Consider the following 16604-nt stretch of genomic DNA (forward strand, 5'->3'; position numbering starts at 1 on the left):
CTGGTTTCAGGACAGGTAAAATGGGGGAATTGTAAGGAGAGTTTATAGGCTTTAAAAGGCCATGCTGTAGCAGGTGAGTGATAGCAGGCTTTAATCCTTTCAAAGCATGCTGTGGGATGGGATATTGGCGTTGAGTGGGGTAAGGGTGATTAGGTTTTAATGAGATGGTAAGGGGTGCATGATCCGTCGCCAAGGAGGGAGTAGAGGTATCTTATACTTGTGGGTTAAGGTGGGGGGATACAAGAGGAGGACGCAAAGGAGGCTTTGGGTTGGGGAGAAGGGCGGCAATGAGATACAGATGTAGTCCAGGAACAGTCATGGAAGCAGATAATTTAGTTAAAGTGTCTCGGCCTAATAAGGGAACTGGGCAGGTGGGGATAACTAAAAAGGAGTGCTTAAAAGAGTATTGTCTAAGTTGCCACTAGAGTTGGGGAGTTTTAAGAGGTTTAGAAGCCTGGCCGTCAATACCCACAACAGTTATGGAGGCAAGGGAAACAGGCCCTTGAAAAGAAGGTAATGTGGAGTGGGCAGCCTCCGTATTGACTAAGAAGGGGACGGACTTATCCTCCACTGTGAGAGTTACCCGAAGCTCGGCGTCCGTGATGGTCTATGGGGCTTCCGAGGTGATCAGGCAGCATCAGTCTTCAGCCGCTAAGCCGAGAAGATCTGGGAAGGAGTCAGAGAGCCTTGGGCCAGAGTTCCAGGGGCTCTGGGAGTGGCTGCCAGGTGAGTTGGACAGTCTGATTTCCAGTGGGTTCCTGCACAGATGGGACGCGGCTTATGAGGAATCCTGGGCTGCAGGCATTCCTTGGCCTGGTGGCCAGATTTCCGGCACTTGTAGCAAGCTCCTGTGGGAGGAGGTTCTGGGGGAACGCCTGGCTGCTGTGATTCAGGCGTTTGGAAGTTCTTGTGTGCTGGAGATGTGGCTGGGGTTTGTCTCACAGTGGAGGCAAGGAATTGCAACTTTTTTCTATTATTGTACACCTTGAAGGCGAGGTTAATTAAATCCCGTTGTGGGGTTTGGGGGCCGGAATTTAATTTTTGGAGTTTTATTTAATGTCGGGAGCAGATTGGGTAATAAAATGTACTTTGAGAATAAGATGGCCTTTTGACCTTTTAGGGTCTAGGGCTGTAAAGTGTCTCAGGGTTGCTGCCGAACGAGCCATGAACTGGGCTGGGTTTTTCATATTTGATGAAAGAGACTAAACGCTCACTGATTTGGGAAAGGTCTGATAAAGAAAAAGGAGCATTAACCTTGACTATGCCTTTAGCTTCACCACCTTTTTAAGAGTAAATTGCTGGGCAGGTGCGGGAGGGCTAGACGTGCAATGAAACTGTAAGCAGGACCCGGTGTGAGGAGGGGAGGTGATAAAAGGATTATAGGGTGGAGGAGCCGAGGCTGAGGAAGAATTGGGACCTAGCTCAGCCTGGTGAGGAGCAGCCTGGGGAGGAGGGGAGAGGTCAGATGGGTCTGTAGAAAAGGAAGATTAGAAAGACTCAGTGACACTTGGGGTTGGGACTGAGGGGACAGGCGGGAGGGAAAGAAGGAAGATTGGGGGCGAGTTGCACTGGGTACAGAGACTAGGGAGGGACTGATGTGTAAAAGAATGCCTGGACATCAGGCACCTCAGACCGTTTGCCCATTTTACAACAAGAATTATTTAGATCTTGCGGGATGGAAAAATTGAAAGTGCCGTTTTCTGGCTATTTGGAACTACTGTCAAGTTTGTATTGGGGTCAACTGGCATTGCAGAGGAAAATAAGATGCTTAGATTTTAGGTCAGGTGAGAGTTGAAGAGGTTTTAAGTTCATGAGAACACAGGCTAAGGGAGAAGAAGGAGGAATGGAAGGTGGAAGCTTGCCCATAGTGAAAGAGGCAAGCCCAGAGAAAAGAGTAGAGACACGGAGAAGGGGTCGGGGGTTCTTGCCCTCCAGAAAAGCAGAGAAGGGGTTGGGGCACAGAGATATTAGGTCAGGGTGCAGAAATAAGGGATCAGGGTGCAGAGATATAAGAGGTCGGGGTGCAGAAATAAGGGATCAGGGTGCAGAGATATAAGAGGTTGGGGTGTGGAAATAAGGGATTGGGGCACAGAGATATAAGAGGTTGGGGTTCCTGCCCCTCCTCTAGAAAAGCGGGACTTGCCGCTAAGAGTGAAGGAGAAGGGGTTGGAGGTTTCTTGCCCCCCAGAAAGGCGGTGAAGGGGTAGAGACATGGAGAGAAGGGGTTGAGGTACTTGCCCCTCCCCTAGAAAAGCGGGACTTGCCGCTAAGGGTGAAGGACCAAGGCAGGTGTCCCTGTGTGGTCTGACACCTCTGAAATGTGGGTGAATAATCAGGCATCCCTGCAATGATTAAACACCAAGGGAAGGCTGCCTTCCCAGTCTGTGACAGGCACCGGAGTTTTGGGTCCATGGATAAAACGTGTCTCCTTTGTCTCTACCAGAAAATGAAAGGAATTGAAATTAAGAGAAGGGAGAGATTGAAGTGTGGCGCCAAGATTGAAAGGAGAAAGAGGCTGAGGGATAGTGAGGGAGATTGGAGAAGAGAGTAAAAAGAGGCTGCTTACTAGATTTGAAATTGGTGAGATGTTTCTTGGGCTGATTGGTCTGAGGACCTGAGGTCGTAGGTGGATCTTTCTCACAGAGCAAAGAACAGGAGGACAGGGGATTGATCTCCCAAGGGAGGTCTCCTGATCTGAGTCATGGCACCAAATTTCATGTGCATCCATGTGAAAAGACCACCAAGCAGGCTTTGTGTGAGCAATAAAGCTGTTTATTTCACCTGGGTGCAGGTGGGCTGAGTCCAAAAAGAGAGTCAGTGAAGAGAGATAGGGGTGGGGCCATTTTATAAGATTTGGGTAGGTAAAGGAAAATTACAGTCAAAGAGGGGTTGTTCTCTGGCAGACAGGAGTGGGGGTCACAAGGTGCTCAGTAGGGAAACTTTTGAGCCAGGATGAGCCAGGAGAAGGAATTTCACAAGACAATGTCATCAGTTAAGGTAGGAACAGGCCATTTTCACTTCTTTTGTGGTGGAATGTCATCAGTTAAGGCAGGATCTGGCCATCTGGATGTGTACATGCAGGTCACAGGGGATATGATGGCTTAGCTTGGGCTCAGAGGCCTGACACATAGGATTTAAAATATGGAGAGAATAAGAATACATGGCAACAATAGCATAATAGATGGAGTGAAATTGAGTTAACATCTAAATGCCTTGCATTTTTGCGGAAGCTTTAAACTACTATCTTATATTAGAAATGAATAAGGATATATATCGTATGTTTAAGGAAATTCACCATAGAAAACAAAAAGGATGTACTATATAATAGTAAACTAATGAAGAATGTAATAATGAACTACTCTCAATATAAAAGAAATAAGTAGGACAATATAAAACAGATAGGACAATTTATTTTATTTTATTTTACTCTAAGTTCTGGGATATATGTGCAGAATGTGCAGGTTTGTTACATAGGTATACATGTGCCATGGTGGTTTGCTGCACCTATAAACGTGTCATCTACGTTTTAAGCCCTGCATGCATTAGGTGTTTGTCCTAATGCTCTCCCTCCAATTGCCCCCCACCCCCTAAAAGGCCCTGGTGTGTGATGTTCCCCTCCCTGTGTCCATGTGTTCTAATTGTTCAACTCCCACTTATGAGTGAGAACATGCAGTGTTTTGTTTTCTGTGCCTGTGTTAGTTTGCTGAGAATGACGGCATCCAGCTTCATCCATGTCCTGGCAAAGGACATGAACTCATTCTTTTTTATGGCTACATAGTATTCCATGGTGTATATGTGCCACATTGTTCTTTATTCAGTCTATCATTGATGGGCATTTGGGTTGGTTCAAGTGTTTGCTATTGTAAATAGTGTTGCAATAAACATACATGTGCATATGTCTTTATAGTAGAATGATTTATAATCCTTTGGCTATATACCCAGTAATGGGATTGCTGGGTCAAATGGTATTTCTGGTTCTGGATCCTTGAGGAATCACCACACTGTCTTCCACAATGGTTGAACTAATTTACACTCCCACCAACAGTGAAAAAACATTCCTATTTCTCCACATCCTCTCCAGCATCTGTTGTTTCCTGACTTTTTAATCACCATTTAAACTGGTGTGAGATGGTATCCCATTGAGGTTTTGATTTGCATTTCTCTAATGACCAGTGATGATGAGCTTTTATTCATATGTTTGTTGGCTGCATAAATGTCTTCTTTTGAGAAATGTCTGTTCATATCCTTGGCCCACTTTTGGATGAGGTTGCTTGATTTTTCTTGTAAACTTGTTTAAGTTCCTTGTAGATTCTGGATATTAGACTTTTGTCAGATTGGTGGCTTGCAGAAATTTTCTCCCATTCTGTTAGTTGCCTGTTCACTCTGATGATAGTTTCTTTTGCTGTGCAGAAGCTCTTTAGTTTGATTAGATCCCATTTGTCAATTTTGGCTTTTGTTGCAATTGCTTTTGGTGTTTTAGTCATGAAGTCTTTGCTCATGCCTATGCAGATAGGACAAATTTTTAAAAAATTCATAGAATAGTCCATTTAAACTCAAATAGTTCAGCTATTACATTAAGTTAATATGGACAAAATCCTGCAATTCGTAGGCAAACAATTTAAAATTGAATACTGAAACAAAATGTAACTGTGTTCTGCTGATAAGAGATGTGTCTTTAATACAAAAATAAGAAAGACTGAAAGTAGAATTACGGAACATGATAAACCTAATCAAAACAAAGCTTGTAATTCTAAAGAAACTATACTGAAAAGCAAGAAATATTTATACATAAAGTTTGAAATTTTATAATGATAAAAAGATAAAACAACAGAAAAAGATGACAAAAATAACTTTGTAAGCATTTAATAACCTAATCTCAAAATGAATAAAACAAAAAAGTACAAAATAAATAAACAATAGAAGAAAAATAATGAATAGCTACATTTACAGTCATAGTTGAATAATGCAGTTTTTCTCAGTAACTAAAGAATAAGCAAAAGATGATTGGATAAATTAAATATGTTATATACATATAATGAAATATAATTTTGCAATAAAAATAAATGAAGTATTGATACATATTACATTAAACATAAATTCAACTTGAAAACTAAGTGAAAATCCAGTCACACCCTAGACAAAAACTTACAAAAAGATATTGTAAAATTCCATTTTTATATAATGTATGTAATAAGTAAGTTCATGGAGTTAGAAAGTATTTTGGTGCTTGCCTGGGACTGATAGATGAAGGTGGGGGAATAATGAGAATGACTGCTGATGAGGACAAGTGTTTCCTTTTAAAGTGATACAAATGTTCCAGAGTTTGATGATGGTTGCACAAATGTGTGAATGCAATAAAAACCACTGAATTATACACTTTATTTGATAAATTATAAATTATTTATCCATAAAACTGCAAAAATGATTTTTTAACTAAAACTTGCATTCAATCTCATCCACCTGTAAATGGCATTAAAATTATTTTCAGTTCAGTATATTCTAGACCAGTGGTTTTCAACCAAGCCTAACTTTGTCTCACAAGGAACATTCGTAATGTCCGAAGACATATTTGATTGTAACAGTAGAGGTGGAGTGGGTATTTGCATTAACTAGGTAGAAGCCAGAAATACTAGTAAAAATCTTACAGTAGGTAAGACAGCTTTCAACCAAAACAATACAAAACAAAACATGTAACTGCCCCAAAATATCAATAGTGCAAAGGTTAACAAGCCCTCTTTTAGAGACATTGATCTCTATTCCTATATAATTTTTAAGCCTCATGGTAATAGAGTCTATCTTGGAATGTGAATGAAGCATAATGTAAACATTACAAGCAACAACATGTCACATTTTTAGAATTTACATCATTCAGAATACCCCTTAGTATCACCTGACCCCAAAGCTTAGAATGATTTTGCCAATTTTGCAAATATGAAAACTTAGATTATGTTATTCTTTTTCTAATGGGCCAAGAAAGGTATAACACTACACTGTCACTTTTTTTTTACTTCTATACTAATTACTTTCTGAATATATATAGATATCTAATCTATCTATCTATCTATTCTTTTACCACTTAAAAATATTATTTTAATCTGTTTAAAACTAAGGCCTAGCATTAAGAGATATACCTAATGCTAAATGACAAGTTAATGGGTGCAGCACACCAACATGGCACATGTATACATATGTAACAAACCTGCACGTTGTGCACATGTACCCTAAAACTTAAAGTATCATAATAATAAAATTAAAAAAAAAACTAAGGCCTAAAAATAAGAAGTGCTATTTTGTCTGACAGCAAAATAAATAAGTAGTTTTTAAAATAGTAAGCTGAAGTTTAATAATTATGTTAAAATTATAGTAACTTTTTTCTGCAGTAATTATTTTTGATAAAAATTAATGCAATTACATGACATAAAATTAAGATATAGTTTAGTAAGAAAAACACAAAACAATAACCATTGTAGAATGAAAATAAGTTTTAATATATGAAAGACTTAAGAATCCTTTAATACATTAAACTGACTGATACTAGTGTTCTTTGCTGAATCATAGGTAACATATTTATTGATTTTTAAAATAGGGTTAGCGTAGAATAAATGAAATTTATAATTTAATAGTCATCAACTTCACATTCATTTTGCATACCACAGGAGAAAAAAAGAGGCTCAGAAAGATTAAGTTCTAAGGATAATTGATTTTAAAATTGGGGCCAGAATTAGGACTCAAACGCATATTTTCTGAGGTCTAGCCCTTTGTATATTACACCCTTGCTGAAGACTAAATTCGAGTGTGTGTCTTATTGGCAGTGAGAAGGCAGATTTGCCAATATGTAGTTTCTAAATCTTGCATTTATTTCTATACATTTTAAATTTAATTTAGAAATAGAACAGGGAGAGTAATGTTAGCAAGATGGTCAATCAGAGTTGTTTGGCACTCATCCCCACAAAAAGGGTTGTGGGGTTCCCCTCCAACATAACAAATGAACAACTATATTTCAGTGGAAGTTACTGAGGAAGTATGCTGGGGAACATAAGGGGAGTGAAAAAATCCCTGTGAAGCACAGAAACTCAGGATAGAACCATAAAAGAAGAGGGAGACACACAAACTCTACCAAATTGTTCCCTCACTGGGATTGGCTCATAGCCAGGAGGGGCTACTGCTTATCGAGAAAAGGTAAGCTGGAGACACCAGTTGTCCCCATTACTACTGCAGATGCCTGCAGGCTGCTACGGGAGGGTCCTGCAAGCCTCACAGTCAACAAATTCTATCTGGGGAGCTTTCTGGAGTTCACATAGCTGTGTTGCCCTATACTAGGAGCCCATTTCGTATACCCACCAACTCCCGTGACCTAAGTTGGAACTGCATAGTACCATCCTGAAACCAGACTGACTGCTAGAGTATGTCCTACTCTGGGGGCCAGTAGCCACTGTGTCTCTCCATCCCTGAGGCCCCAGCATCATTCCACCATGCTCACAAGGAAGGCCACAGAACTACAACCCCAGCTACTTTAAGCTTAGGCCCAGTGGAATGGCCCAAATCCATGCAACATCCCCTCCTCCCTGGGAAACAGGCATATCTGCACAGCAAGAAAGCCAACAAGCAGCTGATTGGCCTGTGGTGCCTGTGTGCCTGACCCAACAGGAAGGATGGCAGCAGCCCCACCCATTGAAGAACCCACCTCAGAGTTGGCCAGCCCACTATACCTATGTAAGCCATGCCTGACAGCCAGACTAGGGGTGGCCCTGCAGCCCTGGAAAGTCCACTACATAGCCAGCTGGCCCACCATGCAAGTCTGTCTAAACAGTGAGGCTGGTAGCGTTGCCCCTAACAAAACTGAGCCATTACAATCACAAACTCCTGTAGCCTAGGCCACTGATGAAATTGCAGACATCATTGATGAGAATTATAGCTAATGAAACTGCAGAGAACCACACAGAACCAAAGATAATGGATCATACTCAACTGACATCCTAGACACACCTATAGGAAAAAGTCTCTCCTTACAAAAGTTAGCCCGTAAAGTTGGAAAAGATAACTGTTCCACCAGATATGCAGATATCAATGCAGAGATATAAGAAACATGAAAAAGTAAGGAAACATGACATTTCCAAAGGAAAATAATAATTCTACATTAACAGCCCCCCATAAAAAAATTTATGCAATTCCTGGAATTTAAAATAATGATTCTTTTTAAACTATGAGATATAAGAGAATATGGACAAACAATTCAATGAAATAAGAAAAATAATTTATTATCTGAATGAGAAATTCAACAGAGGGACAGATATAAAAAAAGAACAAAACAGATATCTTGGAGCTGAAGAATTCAATGAATAAAAGAAGTACAACTGAGAGGTTTAACAACATACTAGCCATTTTGGCAGCATATGTATTTATGATTTGTATAGAAGAAACAGTTTCTAAATTTGAAGACAGTTCTTTTAAAGTAACCTAATTAGAGGGGAGAAAAAGTAAACAAAAATAAAAAGCAATAAAGAAAGTCTACTTATGGGACACCATTAAGTGAATGAATATTTGCATTATAAGAATGCCAGAGGGAGAAGATATAAAGAAAGGCAGAAATATTGAAATAGTATGTGGAAACTTCCCAGTCTTAGCAAACATATGAACAACCAGATTTAGAAACTCTAAGACTCCCAATTAGATTACAACAAAAATGATCTACTCCAAGGTACATTATAATCCATCTATCAAAAGTCAAAGACAAGGCAAGAATTCTGAAAACTGAAATGGAATAGTGTCAAGTCACATATAAGAGAATTCTATTATACTGTCAGCAGATCAATCATTAGAAACCTTGCAGCCCAGTAGAGAATGGTATGACATATTCAAAGTGCTGAAAGAAAAAAAAAATACTGGCAACCAAGAATACTATATCAGCGAAGCTGTCCTTCAGCAATGAAGGAGAAATAAAAACCTTCCCAAATAAGCAAAATCTGAGGGAATTCATCACCACTACACTAGTCTTTACAGAAATGCTTAAGATGATAGTGCTACAACTGAAAGTGAAGATAATTACTATTATGGAAACACATGAAAATATAAAACTCACCAGTAGAGGGCAGCTCATAACCAAAATCAGAATATCCCAGTGCTATAATAGTGCTATGTCAATCTTTTAATCTTCTGATATAAAGTTTAAAAACCAAAGGGGTCAAAAAACAACTTCTACAATTAGTCATTAAGAAAAACAATAGATAAAGACACACATTAAGGCAACAAATATATAAATTACAGGGAGGGGTCAGGAAAAAATGTCTAGAGTATTTTTATGTGACCAAAATTAAGTTGCTCTCATCTTAGAATAGTCGATTATAACTACAAGAACCTTTATGTTAGCTTCATGGTATCCACAAAGAAAGAAATTACAACAGGTACACAAATGAGAAAGGGAAAGGAAGCAAAGCTTAGCACAGCAGAAAACCACCCAGCCATAGTAGTAAATAATAAAAGAGAAAAAAAGAACAAAGAGTCTATACAACAATCAGAAAACAATTAACAAAATGTCAAGGGCAATTCATTGCCTCTCAATAATAACCTTAAATGTAAATGGATTAAATTCTTCAATTTAAAGATTGCATTGTTGAAAGGATTTTGAAAAACTAAGAACCAACTGTATATTGCGTACAAGACACTCACTATTAAAGATAAACCCAGACTGAAAATGAGAGGATAAACAAAGATACTCCATGGAAAAGAAAACCAAAAGCAAAAGGAGTGGCCATATTTATGTTAGATAAAGTACACTTTAAGTCAAAAACTGTAAAAAGAGACAAAGAAGGTCATTATATTTAATAAAGGGAGAAATTCAACAAAAGGATATACCAATGATAAATATATATGCACACAACACCAGAGTGTCTAAATACATAAAGCAAATATCAGATCTAAAGGGAGAGATAGACTACAATGCAATAATCACAGGAAATTTCAACTTCCCACTTTTAACAATAGATAGGTTGTCTAGATATAAAATCAGCAAAGAAACATCAAACTTAAGCTCCACCATAGTCAAAATGAATCTAACATATACTTACAGAACATTCCCTCCAATAATTGCAGAATATACCTTCTTCTCAGTTGCACATGAAACATTCTCAAGGACACAAAACATGTTTCAACATATTTAAGGTAGAGAGTATATCAAGTATCTTTTTTGAACACAATGGTATAAAGCTAGAAATGAACAACAAGAAAATTTTAGAAACTTTACAAATATGTGGAAATTAAACAAATTGCTTTTATATCACCAATGGATCAAGGAATAAATTAAAAAGAAATTTAACAAATTCCTTGAGACAAATGAGAATGAAAGCACGTCGTTTCAAATCCTATGATATACAATGAAAGCAGTTCAAACAAGGTAAGCTTATAGTAATAAACACCTATCACATAAAAAGAAAAAGCTTTCAAATAAACAACCTAACGATGAACCTCAAAGAAATAGGAAAGCAAGAAAAAAATATATAAATTGGTAGAAGGGAAAAATTAATAAAGCCTAAAACATAAATAAATGGACACAAGAAAAACAGTTCAAAAGATCATTGAAGAGAATTGTTGATTATTTTGGAAAAAATAAACAAAATTTACAAACCTTCAGCCAGACTAAGAAAAAAGAGAAAACTCAAATTAGTAAAATCAGAGATAAAAAAAGAGACAATACAACTGATACTACAGACATACAAGAGATCATAAAAGACTATTGTGAAGAATTTTACACCAACAAATTTGGTAACCTAAAAAAGAAAAGATAAATTACTGGACACATACAACCTACCAAAATTAAGTTGAAAATCATAACAGACCAATAATGAGCAAGAAAATTGAATTAGTAAAAAGTCTTCCATCAAAGAAAAGCCCAGGATCTGGTGGCTTCACTGATGAATTCTACCAAACATTTTAAGAAGACTAATAACAGGTTTTTTTGAACTATTTTAGAAAATTAAAGAGGGGAGAATATTTTCAAATTCATTTTACAAAGCCAGCATTACATTGATGTAAAAACAAGACAAAGACACAAGAAAAAAAATAAATAAACTGCAGGTCAATACACCTAACAAACATAGATGCAAAAATTCTTAACAAAATGATAGCAAACTAAATTCAACAGCACATCAAAAAGATCATTCACTATGATCAAGCGGGATTCATCCTAGGGATGGAAGGATGTTTTAACATAACATACACAAATCAATAAATGTGGCACAACACATTAACAGAAAGAAAGACAAAAACAATGTGATCATTTCAATAGACACAGAAAATGGATTTGACAAAATTTAACATCCTTTTATAATAAAACTCTCAACAAATTAGGTTCAGAAGCAGTGTACCTCGACCCAATAAAGGCCATACAAATGACAGACTCACAGCTAAGATCACATTTAATGGGGAAAACCCAAAAGATTTTCCCTTAAGATTAGAAATAAGACAAGGATGTTCATTTTCACTACTTCTATTCAATATAGTACTGGAAGTTCTAACTAGAGCAATTAGACAACAGAAATAAAATAAATAAATAAATAAATATAGATTAGAAAGGAGAAAGGCAAAATATCTCTCTTTTTACAAGTGACATGATGTTACAGAAGGAAAACACTAAAGATTATACCAGAAAACTGTTAGAACTAATAAACAAATTTAGTAATATTGCAGGACAGAAAATCAACATACAAAAATTAGTTGTGATTTTATAGACAAAGGTTAACTATTTGAAAAAGAAATCAAGAAAATAATTTCATTTACAATAGCAACAGAACAGAAAGATACCTTGGAATAAACCAGAGGCTTGATAGGTATTTACACTAAAAACTATGAAACATCAATGAAAGAAATTGAAGAGGACATAAAGAAATGAAAAGATAAACTCTGTGTTCATGGGTTGAAAGAATTAATATTGTTTAATTGGCCATATTACCCAAAACTGTCTACAGATTTAATGCAATCTATATCAAAATACCAATGACATGCGTCACAGAAATAATTTTTTAAAAATCTCTAAAACTTATGTGGAACCACAAAAGACCCAAAATGTCCACAGCAATCTTAAACAAAAAGAACAAAGCTAGAGGCATCACATTACTTGACTTCAAAAGACATCACCTAACTCCCATTACAATGGCTATGATTAAAAAGACAAAAGAAAACAAGGTTGGTGAGGATGTGGAGAAAAGAGAACTCTTGGTGGTAATATAAAGTAGTAAAGCAATTACAAAAAACAGGATGCAGGTTCCTAAAAAAGTTAAATGTGGGACCATATGATCCACAAATTCTACTGAATATATACATACGAAGGAAATAAAATCAATATGTCAGAGACATCTGCACTTCCATGTTTATTGCAACACTATTTATAATAGCCAAGACTTGGAATCAACCTAAATGTTCAACAAATAGTAAATGTATACATATTTACACAATTGAATATTATTCAGCAATAAAGAAATGAAACTGTGTCATTTCAGACCAAATGGTTGAATACGGAGGACTTTAAATGTATTCGTCTGTTCTTAGGCTGTTAATAAAGATATACCCAAGACTGGGTAATTTATAAAGGAAAGGGGTTTTATTGACTCACCATTCAGCATGGCTGGGGAGGCCTCAAGAAACTTACAATCATGGCAGAAGGGGAAGCAAACACGTCCTTCTTCGCATGGCAACAGCAAGGAGAAGAATGAGTGCCCAGTGAAGGGAGAAGCCCTTCACAAAACTATCAGATCTTGTAAGAACTAACTCACTATCACCAGAAAGGATGGGGGAAACCGCCTCCCATGATTCAGTTATCTCCATTGGTTCCTCTTACAACACAGGGTATTATGGGAACTACAATTCAAGAAGAGATTTGGGTGAGGACACAGCCTAACCATATGATATCATGTTAAGTGAAATAAATAAGACACAGAACGACAAACACCAAATGATCTCATTCAGATGTAGAATCTAAATAAATACGTTGCTCTTACGGAAGTAGATAGTAGAACACTGTTTTACCAGAGATGATTTGGAAGGGGAAAATGGAGAGAGGTTTGTCAATGGGCACAGAGTTACAATTAAATAGAAGAAATAAGTTCTGTTGTTCGATTGCATGGTAGGGTTACTAAGGTTAACAGTAAGTTGTTGTTAAATGAATTTTTGTTGTTGTTTTTTTTTTTTTTTTGAGATGGAGCTTTACTCTGTCACCCAGGCTGAAGTGCAGAGGTGCAATCTCAGCTCACTGCAACCTCCGCCTCCCCAGTGCAAGGGATTCTCCTGCCTCAGCCTCCTGAGTAGCTGGGACTACAGGTGCATGCCACGACACCCAGCTAATTTTTCATATATTTAGTAGAGATGGGTTTCACCATGTTGGCCAGGCTGGTTTCGAACTCCTGACCTCAGGTTGATCCACCCACCTAGGCCTCCCAAAGTGCTGGGATTACAGGCGTAAGCCACCATGCCTGGACATTAAATGAAATTTAACCTAAAGCTGCATTCTTACATATTTTAAGTTGAGCCTAAGAGTCTCTTCCTACATAGTGAACTGTAACCTAAGTGGATGTGTAACCAGATTATAATTTAACCTTGTGCCAATCACTGGGTTTCAGCTAATCAAAGCAGCCAGTTATCCAAATCGTGTTCAAATAAGGCAAACACCAAGCTGTAACCAATCTCGCTGTTTCTGTGTCTCACTTCTGTTTTCAGTACTTCATTTTTCTTTTTCTGTCCATAAATCTTCTACGTGGCTGCACTGGAGTCCCCTGAGCCTACTCTGGCTCAGAAGGCTCCCTGCTTTGCAAATGGTTCTTTGCTCAATTAAACTTTATTAAATTGAATTTGTCTAAGATTTTTCTTTTAACATTACAAAACAGCTAGGACTGATGTCTTTGAACATTCTCATCACAAAGAAATGATAAATGCATGAGGTAATGAATATGCTAACTACCCTGATTTGATATTTATGCAATGTATACATGTATTGAAAATCAAATGGTACCCCATAAATATGTACAAATATAATGTGTCAATTTAGAAAAAGGAAAAAATAGAACTTGGGAAGAAATATATCTTCTAAGAAGATGGCATTTTAGGAAAACAATCTCTACTAAACTTATTTTCAAATGTTTATAAATTGCATAATTTACTTTGAAAGAGGTATGAATGACTTAAAATTCAGAGTATCAAGACTTCTAAGTTATTAATTGATATGTAAATACATATGCTACATTATGAAATATAACATGTTAATAAATATATACCTATTGAAAAAGTGTATACGTTTATTTCTAAGAAATATAAACTCTAGTACAATTCTATTCCTATTTGACCAGATGTCTCCTCACAACCTAGGTGTTTGTTTTAATCATCTCTCTTCCTGCTAGACTAACTTGACATGTATAAATTCTCTACTAATGCAATTAAACTGACCTGCGTAAGAGACAAAATAGCCAATGACAAATCTATTACTAAGATCTTGCATTAGTGTGGTACATTTGTTACAATTAAAGAACCAATAGTCACATATTATTTTAACTATAGTCCATGGCTTACATTAATTTTCATTCCTTTTATCATACAGTTCTATGGGTGTTGATATACAAACTGCATATACCTACAGTTTCATGAAAAATAGCTTCACCTGTGATTCACCTATTTATCCTTTCTCTTCCTCCTCACAAGCCTCTGGCAATGACTGATTTTCTTTTTTTTTTTTTTTTACAGTCTCTATAGTTTTTCTCTTTCTAAAATCCCATATGGTTAAACTCATACAGTATATAGACTTTTCAGATGGGCTTCTTTCACTTAGCAAAATGCATTTGATGTTTCCCTGTGTCTTTTCATGGCTTGATAGTTCATTTTGTCTTCTTGATATGCCATTACACTAATATATCATAGTTTGTTTATCCATTTGCTTACTGAAGGGCATCTTGGTTGTTTCTAGGTTTTGGTGATTATAAACAAAGCCACTGTAAACAGGTTTTTGTGTGGATGTTAGATTTTCACCTCACTCAAGTAAATACCTAAAAGCATAATTGCTAGGTCATATGGTAAGAATACGTTATGATTTATAAAAACCTGCCAAACCATTTTCCACAATGGTTGTATCATTTTGTAATCTTGTCAGAAGAAATAAGTGTTCCTGTTGCTGTGCCTCCTTGTCGATATTTGGTGTTGGCAATGTGTTGGGATGTGATACATCCATTCTAACAGGTGCATATTTCATTGTTGTTTTAATGGGCAGTTCACATGTGTATTTTTTTTCCTTTTCTACAGCCGTATTATTCCAACACTTCCACTTGTTGAATCGATGGCCTATGTTGCTTCATTGGGACGGCAGAACCAGGTCTTGACCATAAAGTAAGTCTTTAATTCCAGGCTTTTATATATGGGAGAAGAGTAATTTTTTAAATCCACAAGAAATCCTTCACATATTATGAATATATATGGGGCATTATGTCAAACCACAGTGTGAAGGGAGAACATGCCATCTGGAGTGGGGGTTTGGAGGCACCGGGAAATGCCTCTGCTTTGAGGAGTCGTCGTCCAGGATTTGAGAGAGATTTAAAGTTTATTGTTCTAGAGAAGGCTTTCATTACCCAAGATTTCCCCTTCCCCAGGCTCTTAGCCACAGAAGAAGGGGCGAGGAGGCAGCAAGGTGAGTGAGTTGATAGGAAAGGGCTGAAGGAAAATGCTTGAAAATACTGTCAGGGCTCTGGTTGCTTGAGCCTTGCCTCCCACTACTCCACCAGCAGAGAGCAGCAGAAGAGAAGCAATGGAATGGGAAGAGCTCCTCTATAACTTGTGGAGGGGTTCATTTCTCATAGGTGCCATGGGTTCTGCAACCAGCAACACCTGGGAAAGCAGCATCTTATTCTAAGTCAGAGAGAGGCTGAGTCCACTTGCCATGTCCAAGTGGGGCACCTTTGTTCTCACTCGCAGAAATATATAGTATGAGCCTGTAGTGCCATAGATGGTAGATGAAGATGGTCTCTACAGACATTGGTCAGTGTTAGCTCTCCTCAGCAGGTATATGGCAGAAACAGTCAGCAGACGTATGGTGGAAACTCAGAAAGGACAGGATCAATACACAGAAGGTAGTGGGGAATGAAGAATAGGGCTGACTGGGGACAGTGGTTCATGCCTGTAATCCCAGCACTTTGGGACGCCAAGGCGGGAGGAATGCTTGAGCCCAAAAGTTTGAGACCAACTTGGGCGACATAGTGAGACCCCTTCTCTATAAAAAACAAAAACAAACAAACAAAATAGCTGAGGGTGGTGGTGTGTGACTGTGGTTCCAGCTACTCAGTAGGCTGAGGTGGGAGTATCACTTAAGCCCAGGAGGCCGAGGCTGCAGTGAGCCGTGATCATGCCTCTATACTCCAAACTGGATGGCAGAATTAGTAAGACCATGTCTCAGTAAAAAAAAAAAAAAAGTAAGAAAAGAATAAGGCTCAGGGCAAAAGTACCATGGCAGAGGCTGGTGGTGGACATTACCAATGTGGGAGATTAAAGAGTCCCAGAAAGCCAGCAGAGTCAGCAAGATTCAAGATGGAGGCCTAGTCATTGGGCCATCTGGCTAAGCTCCATGAACACTATTATTGTCT

General features: G+C 37.6%; 1 long non-coding RNA gene across 2 annotated transcripts in view, besides 1 other annotated feature; it reads left to right on the top strand.

The window, feature by feature from the left end:
• Nucleotides 1-16604, top strand: part of LOC107986059 (uncharacterized) — a 125190-nt gene that overhangs the window by 14958 nt on the left and 93628 nt on the right. For both annotated transcript variants that reach the window (XR_007095784.1, XR_001740585.2), the window contains exon 3: nt 15274-15357. This is a non-coding gene — a long non-coding RNA (uncharacterized LOC107986059). The remainder of the gene's footprint in view (nt 1-15273; nt 15358-16604) is intronic.
• Nucleotides 11702-12517: an enhancer, noted in NCBI's record as "OCT4-NANOG hESC enhancer chr3:946672-947487 (GRCh37/hg19 assembly coordinates)". NCBI's record gives its function as "activates a minimal SCP1, AML or CMV promoter by ChIP-STARR-seq in naive and primed H9 embryonic stem cells {active_cell/tissue: H9 hESC(naive and primed)}" and the evidence as "EXISTENCE:reporter gene assay evidence [ECO:0000049][PMID:30033119]".

Source organism: Homo sapiens, chromosome 3 (genome assembly GCF_000001405.40).
Source record: "Homo sapiens chromosome 3, GRCh38.p14 Primary Assembly".
Classification (NCBI taxonomy): Eukaryota; Metazoa; Chordata; class Mammalia; order Primates; family Hominidae; genus Homo; species Homo sapiens.